This window comes from Homo sapiens, chromosome 8 (assembly GCF_000001405.40).
Source record: "Homo sapiens chromosome 8, GRCh38.p14 Primary Assembly".
In the NCBI taxonomy this organism is placed as follows: domain Eukaryota; kingdom Metazoa; phylum Chordata; class Mammalia; order Primates; family Hominidae; genus Homo; species Homo sapiens.
In genome coordinates, this window is record NC_000008.11 from 24517512 (window position 1) to 24533746 (window position 16235).

The following is a 16235-nucleotide window of genomic DNA, read 5'->3' on the forward strand; positions in this document are numbered from 1 at the left end:
TTTTTTTTTGAGAGGGAGTCTCACTCTGTCGCCCAGGCTGGAGTGCAGTGGCACAACCTCGGCTCACTGCAATCTCCGCCTCCCAGGTTCAAGCGATTCTCCTGCCTCAGCCTCCCAAGTAGCTGGGATTACAGGTGCCTGCCACCACACTGGGCAAATTTTTGTATTTTTGGTAGAGATGGGGTTTCACCATGTTGGTCAGGCTGGTCTTGAACTCCAGACCTCAGGTTATCTGCCTGCCTCGGCCTCCCAAAGTGCTGGGATTATAAACCTCTTTTCTTTATAAATTATCCTGTCTCAGGTATTCCTTTATAGTAGTGTGAGAATGAACTAATACATCCTGTGAAATACAGCTGCCTTACTCTGCTTGGATCCATAGCTCCTTCTGCTCACCTCAGGGAATCCACTGGGCTCTGCCTGGGTTCCCCCTTCTTTGTGCTGCAGCCTGAAAACTCTGAAGGCAGTGAGTTTGGGAAATCAAATAGTTCAGATCCTTCATTTCCAGTCTCTCAGGATTCATCATCCTTCATTGTTGGATGGCTTGTGCCTTAAACTGTTGTTTTCATACTGTTTGCCTTTAAGTGTTTGCAGTTGTTCCAGATAAAAGGGTAAATCTGGTCCCAGTTTCTCTAGTTAATGCCTGTTTCGATACAAGTAAAGAGGGAGGTTGAATTGTAGCTTCCCTAGCTGGTAAAATAGTGAACAAGAAAGCTAAAGAAATATACCTGGTACAAAACACCAAAAAGGTCTGAAAAGTTTTGGAATTATTTTTTAACTTTTAAATGGATTGCTGTTTTGATAAGAAAGTAAAGGTTATCCTGAGTCCAGAAACAATGAGAAACATAAATCCAGAAATGTAAGCTAAATACAAACCACTTTAATCACAACCTCAATGTTTCATCTCACAGTAAGCTTCCTGTGAACATGAGACTATGTTTTAGAAAATCACAGAGTGGAACTGGAACTAAGTCATCCAGAACAAGGGTCAGTAGAAAAAGTAAACAACAATGTTAAGACTCACAAATATGGCCCGGTGTGGTGGCTCACACCTATAATCCCAGCAGTTTGGGAGGCTGAGGCAGATGGATCATCTGAGATAAGGAGTTCAAGACCAGCCTGGCCAACATGGTGAAACCCCATCTCTACTAAAAATACAAAAATGAGCTGGGCATGGTGGTGCTTGCCCATAGTCCCAGTTACTCAGGAGGCAGGAGGATTGCTTGAGCCTGGGGGTGGAGGTTGCAGTGAGCCAAGTTTGCGCCATTACACTCCAGCCTGGGCGACAATAGTGAAACTCCATTAAAAAAAAAAAAAAAAGCCTCACAAATATAATCAGTTTTGGAATAGACTCAAAATATAAAATAAGTACATTCATTATATTTAAAAAGTTATAGGATGACCAGAAGAATAGAAATATTAAATAAAAATAGTCTGTGTAATTTAAAACACACATAACATAGTTGAAATTTAAAATGCAATGGATGTATTGAGCAGCATTTTGGACATAAACAAAGAGATAATTAGTGAGCTTTAAGGCAATTCTAAAGAAGTTATTCCAAAATACATCATGTAGTTGAAAATAAAAATAGTTGAAAAATAAAAGACTAGTTGAAAGATGTAAGAGAAAGTGAAAAGATGTAACATATCTAACTGAAGTGATGATAGAATGGGTTGACATTATTCAAATAATGATGGATATATTTGTTCCAGTAACGTGAAAAAGAAAGAGATGAAAAAGAAAAGAAAAAATATTTTCAAAACTAGAGCATTTCGGTTTCCAGGTAAAAAGTACTCTTCTTAAAAGTCATAGTAAAATTTCAAGTCATAGGGTTTAAAGTGAAGAATCCAATACCTCCGAGAGAAAATACAGGTTATAAAAAAGGGATTAAGAATAGGATGGCATTATATTTCTTAATGCAGCTTGAGAAGTTAGAAGAAAATGGAGCAAAGCCTTCAAGAATTGAAGGAAAATGCTCATCAGACTGCACTTTCTTACTTGCAAGACAGCAAGTAACAAAGGTACAAATGGAAGTACAAGTAACTTACTTAGAAATATAGAGGTAGCTGGTAGTGGGAATGTAAAAGTATGGAATGTCTAGTATACAACAAATGAGAATCAGAAGTGGTAACATATGGGGCAGAAGCTCATGTATTTCATTATAAATCTTTGGATATTATTTGATATTTTAAACTATGTGTACATTTTATGAAAAAAATATTTTCGAAGAAGATAAGGTAGCTGTCCATCACAAGACACAGTGAGCTAATTAAGAAATTCGACTTCTGGTTCATACAAATGAGTAAATAACTTAGACAATTTTGCTAAAAACTTAATAATTTTATTTTCCAGTTGAAATACCAAGAGATGCAAATTTTTTTGGTCTTCAATGTATAAAGATCAAAATATCTAATATTATATCTCATATATCTATATTTCGGTACTTATGGATGTGTGTATAGATAGATAGATAGATAATATAAATATAGATTTTTTTTTTAAATTTCAAGTTGACTTCCCCACTGGAGAATTCATGCAGAGTAGGATGAAGGGGGTATGTCCACAAGGTTGAGTCAGGGAGGACCAGGACTGTCCCTTTATCATCTCTACTTAGTGCCAGAAGGACAATATGAAATTGTGACTGAGAGAAAAGTTGAGGCTGAGCCAGAGAGGCATGTGCAAAATGGGCCCTTAAAATTGCAGTAGAGGAAGCATCAAGAGTCCACATATTGAAATCAACTGGAATTGGAGAGCTAGTCAATTTGGTGAGAACTGGCTGAAATGAGGGAAGTAAATAACAAGTGGCCTGGAATAATTCCAGACATGAAAGCCAATGTCTGCCACTAGGCTTGTACAAATTCTCCACATACGTTTGCATAAGTGAGTTCTTCCACTTAAAAAAGGATGGGACAAAAAATGACCTCAGTCTGTCATATGATGGGAGGCCTCAAAATTAAAAGCAATACATATATACCCAAACACACAAAGGACTGAATTTTGAAATTCAATCCATGGCCTCTATGAGCCCTCCAAACAGATGAAATAGATGAGATTACCAGTCTGCAAATGATCAGGACAAAGCTCATTGTTGTGATGGTGAGACAGCATCATTGGATGACAGCATCACTAGCATCTGACTCACTTGACAAAGTATCTGTATCCTGCCTTTTACTAAAAAGCCTAGCACTGAGGTCTCATTTATTCTAGGTAATGAGCACACTTCTTTGCTTTAAGGAGCACTGTTAAGATAGGAGTGTTAAAATCAAGGCTTTACCGATAACAAGGATTTTTAAAAGAGATTTACTACTTTAATTAGAACCAATGATTAGAAAGTCTTGCATTACATTGCAGTACTTAGAATATGAGAATGCAATTTTCCTTCAGTCACTAAGATAATAATTTTTATGAGTGTATTCAGAGGATGTGCATATGTATAAGATAATTGGAAGACGGTTTTTAGAAGAATAGTTATGTCACAAGAAAATTTTAAAAATTCACTAAGCTACTGATATTAATACTTGCATTCATTTGTTAAAATCTTTCCCTTTTCACAGTCAAATTTCCTACTTATACATGTGAAGTGTATAGTTTTTCCCCCATTACAAGAGGTGCAAAGATTTCCTTAGGAAAGTTGCATTTTGGCAAGATATTCGAAATAAAAGAAACACAATTGTTGTTTTAGTTTTAGCTTTAGTTTAGTTTTTTTTTTTTTTTAAAGGAAGTCAGTGATAGTCACAGAAATATTAGGATTTCTAATAGGTCCTCAGAGTATGATTGAAAAGGTCATGTCAAGACAGGGTCAGCAGTATACCTTGGCACTGAGTGAGTTTGAATTGGTTTAGGAGATGAGATCATATTTATCTGAAAGGAAGCAGAAAAGATACTCTAAATCATTTTTGTTCTCAGGAACTTATATCAGCTTAGGAAGAAGGACTAATATGTTCAAGAAAACAATCCCATTGTAAGTGGCACGCATTAACCTTAAATAGACTTGGTGCACAGGGTGATCTATCCCTATAAGTGAGTTTGTGTGTTAGAACCTGAAGGACATTGTGAAATTCTATTTTTCAGGCTCTAAACATGGGTCATTGTGGGAAACAGAAAATGAAAGAGGCAAAGATGTTAAATTTCTCTTTACAAAGTTGCATGATTTACTAGTTAAAATCAATAGGGACTACCTGTAGTAATATACAAATAAATAATGATTTTTAAGATAGAAACATGAGAGACATCTGACTTGCCATCCTCGTTCTCAGAACAGCAAATGGCTCATCTGAGATCTTAGAACAGATGCAGAACAATAACACAGGCTCTTCTTCCATAACAAGGGCATCACATACTCTTCCTCTAACACAGAAGTGGATCATGAAGGGCTTTGCCAACCCCACTGCCCACCTCTCACCTAAGTAAAAAATCTACTAGGAGTTTTCAAAACAGCTGTGTATTATTGGAGAGGAGGCCCTTAGGATGAAGATACCGATGATGCCTACTTAAATGTGTCTTCTGTACTGAATATTAAGTACAAGAGTAAAATCCTAGTTTAAAGAAAAATTTGGAAGAACACTATTCTAAGTAGTAAGCTTTCTATGTCCAATTGTGGGGAAATTTTTGGCTTGTTTTATTTTCTCAGTTTTTCGTCACTTGATTGTGAATGAGAATAGCCATTTCTCCTGCTGTAACACTGTGCTATGCAGTAAGCACTCATTTATAGAACACGGTACTAGATCTGCTGTACATATATATCAAAGCATTGGTTCCTGATTTGGTGATCTTTCTCTTCAATTCACTTTACATAAAAAGTCTCAAAATAATTGTAATTCCTGTTCATGACATTCTAACATCCTTACCAGTGAGAGAATATATGCCAGATATAGAAAATATAACAGTTGTTCTTCCCCCATGTTAAATGTATGAACACATGGGAATTGAGATACACAGAAAGCAGCTTCAAGCAAGGATACTTATTGTCATTGTCTGTGTCATTCATTAGAAGTTCTATGGGGATAAAATAGCCATAGCCAGATAGTTGTTTTTATTTATACATAACCAAATTTTATAAAATTTAGCTTTCAAAGTCTACTAAGCCATCAACAAATATTTAATTGGCACCTACTATGTGTTCAGCCCTCAGAAATACTACTAAATATACATGATAACTATTGTTAATGTTAAAATAATTAGGTTTATCAATTTGGAAAAGAGAACTTTATTTCTCATAAAGGGTTGCAGCCTACAGGGTGACCATTCTGACTGGGAAGCGTAGCCTCTGGTCAGAAACCAAAAACAGACACCTCAAGGGAGGGGCAAAGGGAAAAGGAATTTATGCTGATCATATATATATATATATACACATATATACATATACATATATATACACACATATATACATATACATATATACATATATATACATATATACACACATATATACATATATATACATATATACACACATATATATACATATATATATACACACACACACACACATACATATAGTTGGTAAGCTGTGGTAGCCATGTATATTTATGAAAAGAGAAATGTGTGCATGCACAGTTGAGTCTCATGTCCCTTCACGAATATAAACAGCTGCAAGTGCGTGACCCCAACATAGAGTTTTCAGCTCTCTGATGGCAAAAGGTGAAGCAGAGAACATGAAAACCCTCATTACACATTCTTCGTAGACTGGCCAGAGCCACTCCATGGTTGGTGGACTCCTATCAGAAGGAATGTGGTTTGTTGTTTTGTTGAAACTACAAAAGGGTGGACCAGTATCCAGCAGTTGGTTGACACCATTGGTAAAGTCTTTTGAAAGGGCTGTTTTCTGTTTTTCCCTTAGGGAAGAAAGCTTAACAGCAGTTTGCAAAGGAAGGGGTATAACGAGGCACGTCTAAGCTCCCATCCCATCATGCCTGAGAAGTCAGTTTTCAAGGTTTCTCTGGGTCCCCTTGGCCAAGAAGGGGTCCGTTCAGTCAGCTGGGAGGCTTAGAATTTCATTGTTATTTCTCATGATAAAGAAGAAATGCAGTTTTTATCCTTCTATTTGGATTGTGAAAATAAGATCGACCTATAAAGAGTTGGCTGCAATCATGCAGGTTTATGCTGTTTGTACACCCAGGCTCATGCTTGCTCCTTTCTGCTGTCTCATCCAAGCACTGTGCACACCCCTTCTCCAGATAATTCAAAACTTTCAATCATCAGGATGCCTCTGCTGGATACTCTCTATGTGATTCTCAGATTCACTTTCCACCCTTTTTTCTTCCCAAGGATGCTGTGGGCAACAGCAATGAACATTTCCTTTCTGTGGTTTCCTTTGGAGTTTGTCCAATAGGAGGTACAATAGGCTGAAGTTTGGAAAGGGAAGACTGGAACTGGGCTTTGCATTCTCCCAACTCCTTTCGCGCAGGGCTATGGCTTGGGAAGTTGCTGTGCTACTCTATTAAAGTCCACAGCATTTGTCAAGCAGCTCTGTCCCTAACAGCAACTCCCCCACACCTTTGTCTTCCAGCAACAGTTCACTCCCTTTGCCCTTTAGGGTAAGGGTGGTAAGGGCTAGCTGCTGTTGATAGCCTTGGGGTTCTTCATCATCCTTTTTGATTTTCCTGAAACCCTAAATATACCTTTTTTATTATACTTTAAGTTTTAGGGTACATGTGCACAGCGTGCAGGTTTGTTACATATGTATGTATGTGCCATGTTGGTGTGCTGCACCCATCAACTCGTCATTTAACATTAGATATATCTCCTAATGCTATCCCTCACCCCTGCCCCCAACCCACAACAGGCCCCGGTGTGTGATGTTCCCCTTCCTATGTCCACATGTTCTCATTGTTCAATTCCCACCCATGAGTGAGAACATGTGGTGTTTGGTTTTTTGTCCTTGCGATAGTTGGTTGAGAATAATGGTTTCCAGCTTCATCCATGTCCCTGCAAAGGACATGAACTCGTCCTTTTTTATGGCTGCATAGTATTCCATGGTGTATATGTGCCACATTTTCTTAATCCAGTCTATCATTGTTGGACATTTCAGTTGGTTCCAAGTCTTTGCTATTGTGAATAGTGCCACAATAAACATATGTGTGCATGTGTCTTTATAGCAGCATGTTTTATAATCCTTTGGGTATATACCCAGTAGTGGGATGGCTGGGTCAAATGGTATTTCTAGTTCTATATCCCCGAGGAAACGCCACACTGACTTCCCAAATGGTTGAACTAGTTTACAGTCCCACCAACAGTGTAAAAGTGTTCCTATTTCTAAATATACCTTTTTGCAAAATGGCAAATCATCCTCTTCCTGCTACTCCTCTCATTCACACTTATCAATTATCCCCCATTCAAGTGCAGCACCTGTGACCTGCCTGGACTCCGTCATCACAATGTCAAAATTCTGTCACAATGTCAAAATTCTGTCACAGTGCCAAAATTCTGTCACAGTGTCAAAATTCTGCTGAGTTTCACGCCAAGGGAGGGGAAGGAGAATATTCATCCTCTTTTCCCATTTGGTGTCACATGCAATTATATGGGGCCCAAAGCAGATCAGCTTATATCCAGGTAAGTCAAATAGTTACACCAAATCTTATAAAACTCAATTCCCTACAATCTTAGAAAAGAGGCAAAAAAATAAAAATGAGGAATCAAGTTATTCTTCCCATCCTCTATCCTCTTCATAAACCCTGCTTCTAATCACAATATTCCTCCCAGGCATAAAACAAAAATTGCATTGCCTGCCTATGGATACAAAGAGGTTCGGCTGATGGTAGCAAGTGTTGGGAAGGCTTGGCTTACAGAGCATTAGCTTATCCAAGCAGAACGTTCTCCGTTCCAATAATAGAAGGCAGGAGGAGTAAGAAACTGATCATTACAAAGGTTGGACAAATCAGAAAAGGCTTTATGGACAAGATGAAATTGACTTGGGCTTGACAGATAAAAAGGATTAAGAAGTTTAGAGAGTATTTCAGGGAAAGGTAACATTTGTGCAAAGATAATGAGGTAGGACATTAATACATTGAGGGGAGTGGGGTTTAGGGAGCAATGGAAGATAAAGTCAGATGGGTAGAGGAAGCCACTCAAAGGCAGATCTTGAAAGTTACGTAGAAGTATTTACATTAGATGTAATCAGCAATAGGAAAACATGGAAGGTATAAAATCAACCTGAAGAGACAAGTGACAGGCCACTGGAAGGAATTCTGTTCTACTAGTTTTGGTTAATTTAATGAGATCTTGGAACTCTGGTAATGCTATCTTCAAAATGGCCCTTTTAAACTTCCTGGACAATGTAGAAACCAGTAGAAGCCAAGCCCATTCTTCCATAATGGCAGATGTGGAAATCTTTACATCTTTAGTTAAGCGAGCCTTACAAAGAATTATGGCACTTTGCTAAAGATCCGCTCAGAAGACAGATGACAGATAAATAAGCCTTCAACACATCTCTGCACTTGGAAATTGCAAAGCTGACAAAATGTTCAGAAACTCACCCAGAAGTAGTTTCCATACAAGAAAGTTTCCTTACTTGCTATTTCTTGAAAAGTGAGTAGATAATAATTCTTTAGGCCCAGGCTACCTCTGTGATGACACACGCTTTGAAATGTAGTCTAAAAGAAGCAATAATGTAGAAAAAGGGCAAAGAGATGAAAAGGATCAGAAATGGCTACAAAGTCCATATGACATGGACTCCAACAAGATTACAGGTCATAAAGTGGTCTAAGCTTTCTGATTATCTAAATTTTCTGCATATGATGCTTCCTTTTTCCCTTAAGGACAACTGTAAGAAATACAAAATCTTTGGAGGAAAATGGAAAGCTAGCATATTTAGAATATTTTTTAAAAAGTTAAGCTTCATGCACTATTCTGTGCATTTCCTTATTTAGTAACAACTTTATTAAGTCTATAGGTATTTAGTAGTTTGCTCAAAATCACACAAAAAGATTTTAAATTAGGACACTCAGCCTTCATAATCAATACCTTTCACATGTTACTCACCTGGTATAACTAACAGAAATCATTTATCTGAATATATATATGGTCAGCCCAATTGATCTGAGTTTTCTTCTAAGAATTTTCAATAGTCATACTGTTGAGCTATGTCTCTCTGAATTAAATCAAGCCTATAGCTAAAGGAGATCCCCTCTATAGTCCTTTCCTATTTTCTAACTGGTTTTACTCATTGTTTTATTCATTCGCTGTGTGTGTTTGAAGGAAGTTAAGCTTTGATATCATTTATTCATTCATACTTTCATATATTTCAGCACCTCTTATATGGAAGGCATCAATGAGAACCAAAATAAAAACTACAATCCCTCACTCAAGAAGTTTAAAATGAAGTGAATGGACAATTGTGAGAAGAAATGCTATTGATCTTCCAAAGTTGTATATTCGATAGTGAATATTGTATGTTTAAAGTAACCTTGCAAAATGTGTCATGTCAAATGTAATAAATTGTATGTTCTGACGAAGGAATGGAATGCCAGATCTAAGGAACTGAAATTTATCTGGGCACTGGACAGTCATTTTATATTTTTGAGGAGAAAAGCCATTTTAGTATTCCTTGAATATGTGTAGTTTCTTAAATACAATATATATGTAGCATGTAAGTACTGAATTTAGAATGGAAAAATACCTTTACAATTACCTTGTTCTATCCTCTTATTTGACAAGGAGGACATGCAAGCTCAGATAAGTGAAAATTACTTGCCTGGATCTGATAGGGCCTGAATTCTACATTTTCTAAATTTAAACTTCCTGGTAGATTGTCATTGAACTGAATGTCTATTAACTCCCAAATCAGTACTTCGTCAGATCTTTGTGACCCAATATTGATTCATTATCTTATTTGCCAAATAAATAACAGTTTAAGCACAATGCTATGTGCTGGGTGTGAGGAGAAAAGTGACACACAGCCCCTGACCTAGAAAAACTTCCTTAATGTGGGAGAGGGTAAAATGCAAAGCAATACATGTGTTAATCCATTTGGATTCACAGGGTATTAGGAGAGAATAATAAATATATTGTGGCATCTTAATTACCCATTATGCTTATTAAAATGCATGAGTATTATATAAAACATTCCAAATGAAATGCTGTCAAATTCATATGACATTGTTGTAAAATCCTCAAGATATTGAATAGCTTCATTAATGACACTGTTAGAAAAATACTGCTGCATTGCAGGCAATATTCCCATTTGGAATAAACTCATTTGCACTTTTCTCCTCAGCGATGGAGCCACTGCTTTGCTATCAGCCAGTGCTCCAGAAACTCCTTAAGCTAAACCCACATTTAGGAAATAATAGAGATCGGTTTTTTGACTCCTCTAAAACCTTCTAAATCTTCCATAGCAGTTGGTCCATTTGCTGAGCTGCAGAACTCACGCTGTCATGAAGGAATTTTACTTCACAGATTCAAAGAGTGGTTCAGGGCTGTAATGGTCATTGGGGCATTTTTCTCATTTTTCAGGTGAGGAAACTGACACTCAGAGAAACTGGATGACTTGCTAGTTAGCTGCCAGATGAAACTAGATCCCTAAATACCTAGCAACTGTCTGGTGCTGCTTCTGCTACAACATATTATCTGGACACCTGTCTTACTCTGTTTTGTGCTGCTATGATAGAATATCTGGGATTTGGTAATTTATTAACAAAAGAAATTTATTTGGATAACAGTTCTGGAGGTTGGGAATTCCAAAATCAGGCAGCCCACCTGGTGAGGGTTTCTTGCTGCTTTAACTCATGGTAGAAAGAGGGGAGGGGGAAGAGAAGGGGAATGTGTAAAGAGACCAAACACGAGAAAGAACAACCTGGTTTCTGCTAACTAATCCAATCCTGCAAGAGGGAGAACTTTCTTCCCCAGATGGTATTAATCTACTCGTGAGAGATCCATCCCTGTGACCCAATCACCTCCCACTAAGCTCCACTTCCCAAAACTGCCATATTGGGAATCAAATTTCAACATAAGCTTTGACAGGAACAAGCCACATCTGAACCACAGCAATACCTTCTCCAATATAATTTTTCCATTATCAATAAACTCACAGTGACCCATTATGGCATGAGGTTCAAAAAGTGTTCTATCTATTCATGAAACACTATTATGAGTCCACATGGATATTTATTCCAAGCAGGGAGCTCGAATGAGAAAGAATGACACAAACAGGGTTTTCTCTTTGTGGCACCTCTGCTGGGATGGGCCACCTTAGTCTGTTTCTTGTATTGAACATGATATCCTCTAGTGATTTATATAGAAAACTTTATGGAAACTGCAAGACAGAAATTCTTCTGGGTACTTTGCCTAGGTTATCTCATTCAGCCCTCACAAATCGTGACGGGTTTGTATGTGGTATGTGTGTGTGTGTGATTGTCTTTCTTTTGTAGATTAAAAAACTGAGGCTCTGAGAAGTTATCTGTGCAGGTCACATACCTGGTAAATGGTAAATCTCAGAGAAACTTTGGTTTCTCTGAACTTAAATTCATGCTGCTTACACTGTGCCAGGTTACTCATTGAAAGCACCAACTCTGCCCTGAAATTAAGCAAAAGAAATATTTGTTTTCATATAGTGTAATTATATGTGTATATTTCAGGGTTTCAAATTAACAGAACCATGTTGGAATTGGTATGACATTTTGCATTTCCCAAATGTTTTATAATTTTTTTGTCTGATCAATGAGAAAATCTTTATAAGTGATTTTGCAAGTCATAGTGTTTAGTTTTTTGTTTTTTGTTTTGTTTGTTTGTTTTGTTTTGTTTTGGCAAGGAGTAGGAGCCTGAACAGAACTGACTTTGTCATTCTATGGCCTCAGAGGCAGGGATGAGTTACAGCTTTTTAAGTTTCCTGGGTTTTGTCCATGTCCTACGTTCATAAATCCATTCATCTCAGCTCCAGAATTGTAGACTCATCAGGGCCACTGGGAGCTATTGTCTAAAATACCAGGTCTCGGCCAGGTACGGTGGCTCATGCCTATAATCCCAGCACCTTTGGAGGCTTGGGCAAGCAGATTGCTTGAGCCCAGGAGTTTGAGACCAGCCTGGGCAACATAGCAAACCTCATATCTACAAAAAATTAAAAATAAGTTAGTCAAGCATGGTGGCATTTGCTTGTGGTCTCAGATACTCAGGAGACTGAGGTGGGAGGATCATTTGAATCTGGGAGGTTGAAGCTGCAGTGAGCTGAAATTGTGTCTCTGCCCTCCAGTCTGGGTGACAGAACAAGACCCTGTCTAAAAAAAAATAAATAAAAATAAATAAAGTACCAGGTGTCTCTTTTAAAGAGCAAAATGAAAAACATTACCAAGATTGATGTGAAAGTCACAGAAACTGAGGTTTGTGATTTGTGGAAGACTCATTACCACATTGAAGTGTCAATGCCTCCATGCAACCTAATGAACCCTTGGCCTTAAGTCACCCAGTATTATGCAATGTAATAAAAATCTACTGGGGTTCAGCGGGGTAGGTGATAGTGTCATGGTGTTACAACACTTTTGTACAGTGGCCAACACAATGACTGCTTTCACATTCATTTCCTTCGGCTTCATTGATTATGTTGTGTGACTTTGCATAAACACAGCATAGATGTGACTCTGATTTACATTGCAGTGACCTCTAGCAAGCGGCACCAATTTCCCTTCAACTCCAGTCTTGCAGCTCCCGAAACTCAATATTTGGGAATGGTACATTTAAACAAAGCCAAGGTGCTACAAGGTGGATCTAAAACCTAGGAGCTTTCTCATCTACCCCCAGCTTCAGGAATAGATAGTCATTGGAAACCCAGTTACACTATGAGCAGAATAAGAAGAAGAAATGAAATCATGACGAAGGAATTTTACCAGCAGATATGAAAGAGTTGCAGGAACATGTTCTTCTGTAAAATATTGTGGTTAAAATCTACGAGGCTACGGTTAAAGTTTAAACCAGGTGCTAAAAGAACCACAGATTTGCTCCTAGCTCTGCTCTGATTCTTTGAAAATATTGGACATAAAATTTGAACTCCGGTGCCTATTTTCACATCTGTAGTTTTAAACATATATCTACCAATTCTAATGACGACATGTCTTGGTCATATTTACCACACTTAGATCACAGCAGTATCTAATTCATAGATGACACTAAAGTTAGGTCTATTGAATAAATTAGGGCTTGGTCTTCTTATTGCCTGTAGTGCTCACACATAATTAAAAGGCAGCATAGTATGGTGGTTAAGTGCACAGGTTGAGCCCAGTAAACTTGAGTCTGACTCTTCACTGTTTATACATGTAAACCTGGTTAAGTTCCATAATCATTCTGTACCACACTTTCATCAAAGGTATGTTGTAATAATGGTACCTACATCATAAGATTGTTATAATAATTAGCTGAGTAAATATAAGTAAAGCAATCAGGGCAGAGCCTGGCATATAGAAAACACAAGTACATGTTATTAAATTTGACCTTGTTAAAAAGATCTTTATTAACTCTATGATTTCCTGTTTATTCCCTTCCTGACAAGACTCTATTAAAACAATTAATGAATACTGAAATTGCCCAGTGAAGAGCAGGGGAAAGTGAAGGTAAAGATTAACTATCAAGAAGTAAGAGTAAACATTTTATACATCCCCAGATCTCCCAAGTTGCTCTCATGTCCTAGAATACAAACCAATCAATGCATTTCAAGGAGGCTCCTTTGTAAAACACAATGTATTACTCATTAACTTAGGAATCTGGAAATAGAATGCATTTTCTCACAACTGCAAAAAGGAACAGAAGGGCAGGTATGCTACTTAATTCCCTTGTTTGAATTCAGTATTACAGTGTGTAGCATTTTTTACTAGAATACCCTGGGCATAACATGTTTATCATAAGCTTTCTCTTTGAGGCCTTTAATTTGCCCACACTCCCTCCCCTTGAGTTCCCATTGCAGTTCCACTAGGGAAGGAACTTTCTGATCCTATAGCCTACACATAGGTTAGAGGTTTGTCTGTCTTAATTTTACATTCCACTGAGCAAAGGAAATTGTTTCCAAAAGAATAAGGCAATAAAATTCCTAATTTTGCCTTTAAAATGCATAGGTAATCTATTTAGAATGATCTCTCTTTGAATACATAGGTTTGAAACATCTTAGGGTATCGTGATTATGAGCTAATTCCTGCTCCATTCTTCCAGGCTGGGCTATAGCTCTTGGGCCTATCCTGTAAAGACTCAGCTCTGATCCAATTTAGATTAAACCAAAGGAGACCAAAAGAAAACTGGTAGCCACCCTGGGATAGGGTCAAGAACTGGTCCTGCTTGAACCAGCCCATGGTTTGTTCTGCAGTGATTCATAGACATCTGCTTGTCAGTGAGTTGCAATCTTTCATTAACCTCTACCATGAGTTTCCAGACCACATACCTGGGCTTCTGCTTCTGTTTCCTGAGTCGCACTCTATTTGTAATCCAGTTTCCTGATGGCATTGGAAATTGGAGCCGAAACCCAGCTGAAATAGAGAGGACCCTGACATACTACTTTACCCCGTTGTTATTTGCTTTGGGGACTGGACCACTTTTCTCTATTTCATATGTTGGTCTTTATTTTGTTCAAAATAACATGGACCACCTGGAACCATGACATTGATTTCTAATTACCAGGCATATCTCCACTATATAGAAGTTCTTTATTTTGCACCACTCTTTAGATCAGACTCCTCTCTGTAAACAGACAGCTCAAATCAAGAAATAATGCTACTTGTGGATACTCTCATTCTTATTTGTTTAAGCTCTCAGAGATAGCACCACATTTGGGTTTGTTAGTTCTGGCCTGGCTTATGCCTACTCACTCATGTCCTCACTGAGCAGCTACAGATGGTTAGTTCATCATGACCCATGGAAGGGCCTAACGCGATCCTACTTCATTAAAAATTAGAATCACACACTCACAGACACACACACACATGCACACACACAAAAATAATATTCGCAGAGTTACAATAGAAATACATGTACACATGCACAAAAATGTCATAGCAGGATTATTTTTTTATTTCAAATCATTTAACAATAATGTATAAATAAATCATGGGCTATTCATACAATAGAGTACTACACAATAATAAATAAACATAATTTATTGGTACATGCAACATTATAGATAAATTCTGTAGGCATAACTGAGCAGAAAAAGCCAAACACAGAAGGATATATTCTCAGTGGTTGTGTCTGTATAAAGGGCAAAAACAGACAAAACTAAGTGGCTATAGTGATTACCTCTGGGAAACAGAAGAAAAGACACAGAGAACAAGAGTTAAGGAGTAAACATGAGTAAATCACAAACTCCATCTTCTAGGAGCTAGCAGCCCTGTAGAGAACAGGAAAATGTAAACAGAGGTTTATGAAATTGGAAGTAGCACCTTAGGAGGCAGCAAGCAGAGAGCCTTTCCTTTGACTCCTAAGGCTCCCTAGAGATCTGGAAGGCTTTTATTTTATGATAGAGTTTATATTACAGCGAGTCCTGGAAATTGTCACCCATCTACTATAACTTGACAAAAGAAGAACTTGAGGCATCCTAGGATGTAGATAATGTTTCATTGCAGTCTCTCAGTAAAAAGACAGACATTTTCACATTCAATATCTGTGCACTTTTCTGACTATGTATTATAATTATAACATTATTAAAGATAAAAAATATGGCCTCCTGCAATTAAGGTTCCTGCTGTTTAATTTTGGGGCTACAGATTTATAAATAGAACCTAATCTTCCCCTTGGCTATTTATCCATCCTCATTCTACCAATATTCTTCTGTGGGCAGATGATGCCAAAGTCTATAGCTGTAGCCCTGACATCCCTATCCTGCTGTCAAGCACACTTGCCACACGGGACCACTTGAACACTTCCTTACCTTTGACAGCTTGTCTACAATACTATTCTTTCTGCCTCTAAAATCTGTTTAGTCCATTCTCTCCTCCCCTCCCTGATAATTATCACTCTTCTTGCCACCTCATGCATTTTCCTGGACAATTGTAGCTACCTCCTAATCGGTCTTCACAACAGCAATTTGTATCCATCATAACTGTGACTCCATCAAGACCATAAATACGTTGACACCATTCTTTTGCTCAAAAGTGTTAATATCTCCCAAATGCTAACTGAATGAAATAAAAACCCCTAGGCCTGGCCTTCATAGCTGGTTTCAAGCTATCTCACTTATGCCTTTTGCTGCTCCACTTCTCATATCTGATTCTTGTAGCTAGTCTGATTTTCTCAACATTTGCTGTGTCTAGTCTTACTAATCATATTTTGT

The 16235-nt window shown here is 37.7% G+C and overlaps 2 long non-coding RNA genes across 2 annotated transcripts in view; one reads left to right on the forward strand and one right to left on the reverse strand.

Annotated features, from left to right (window-relative positions):
- The window catches only part of ADAM7-AS1 (ADAM7, ADAMDEC1 and ADAM28 antisense RNA 1), a 252805-nt gene that overhangs the window by 221698 nt on the left and 14872 nt on the right, over positions 1-16235 (reverse strand). The window lies entirely within an intron of this gene.
- Positions 7460-9459, forward strand: LOC107986932 (uncharacterized). The gene is made up of 2 exons (XR_001745845.3): positions 7460-7549; positions 9244-9459. It is a non-coding gene; the product is annotated as an uncharacterized LOC107986932 (long non-coding RNA).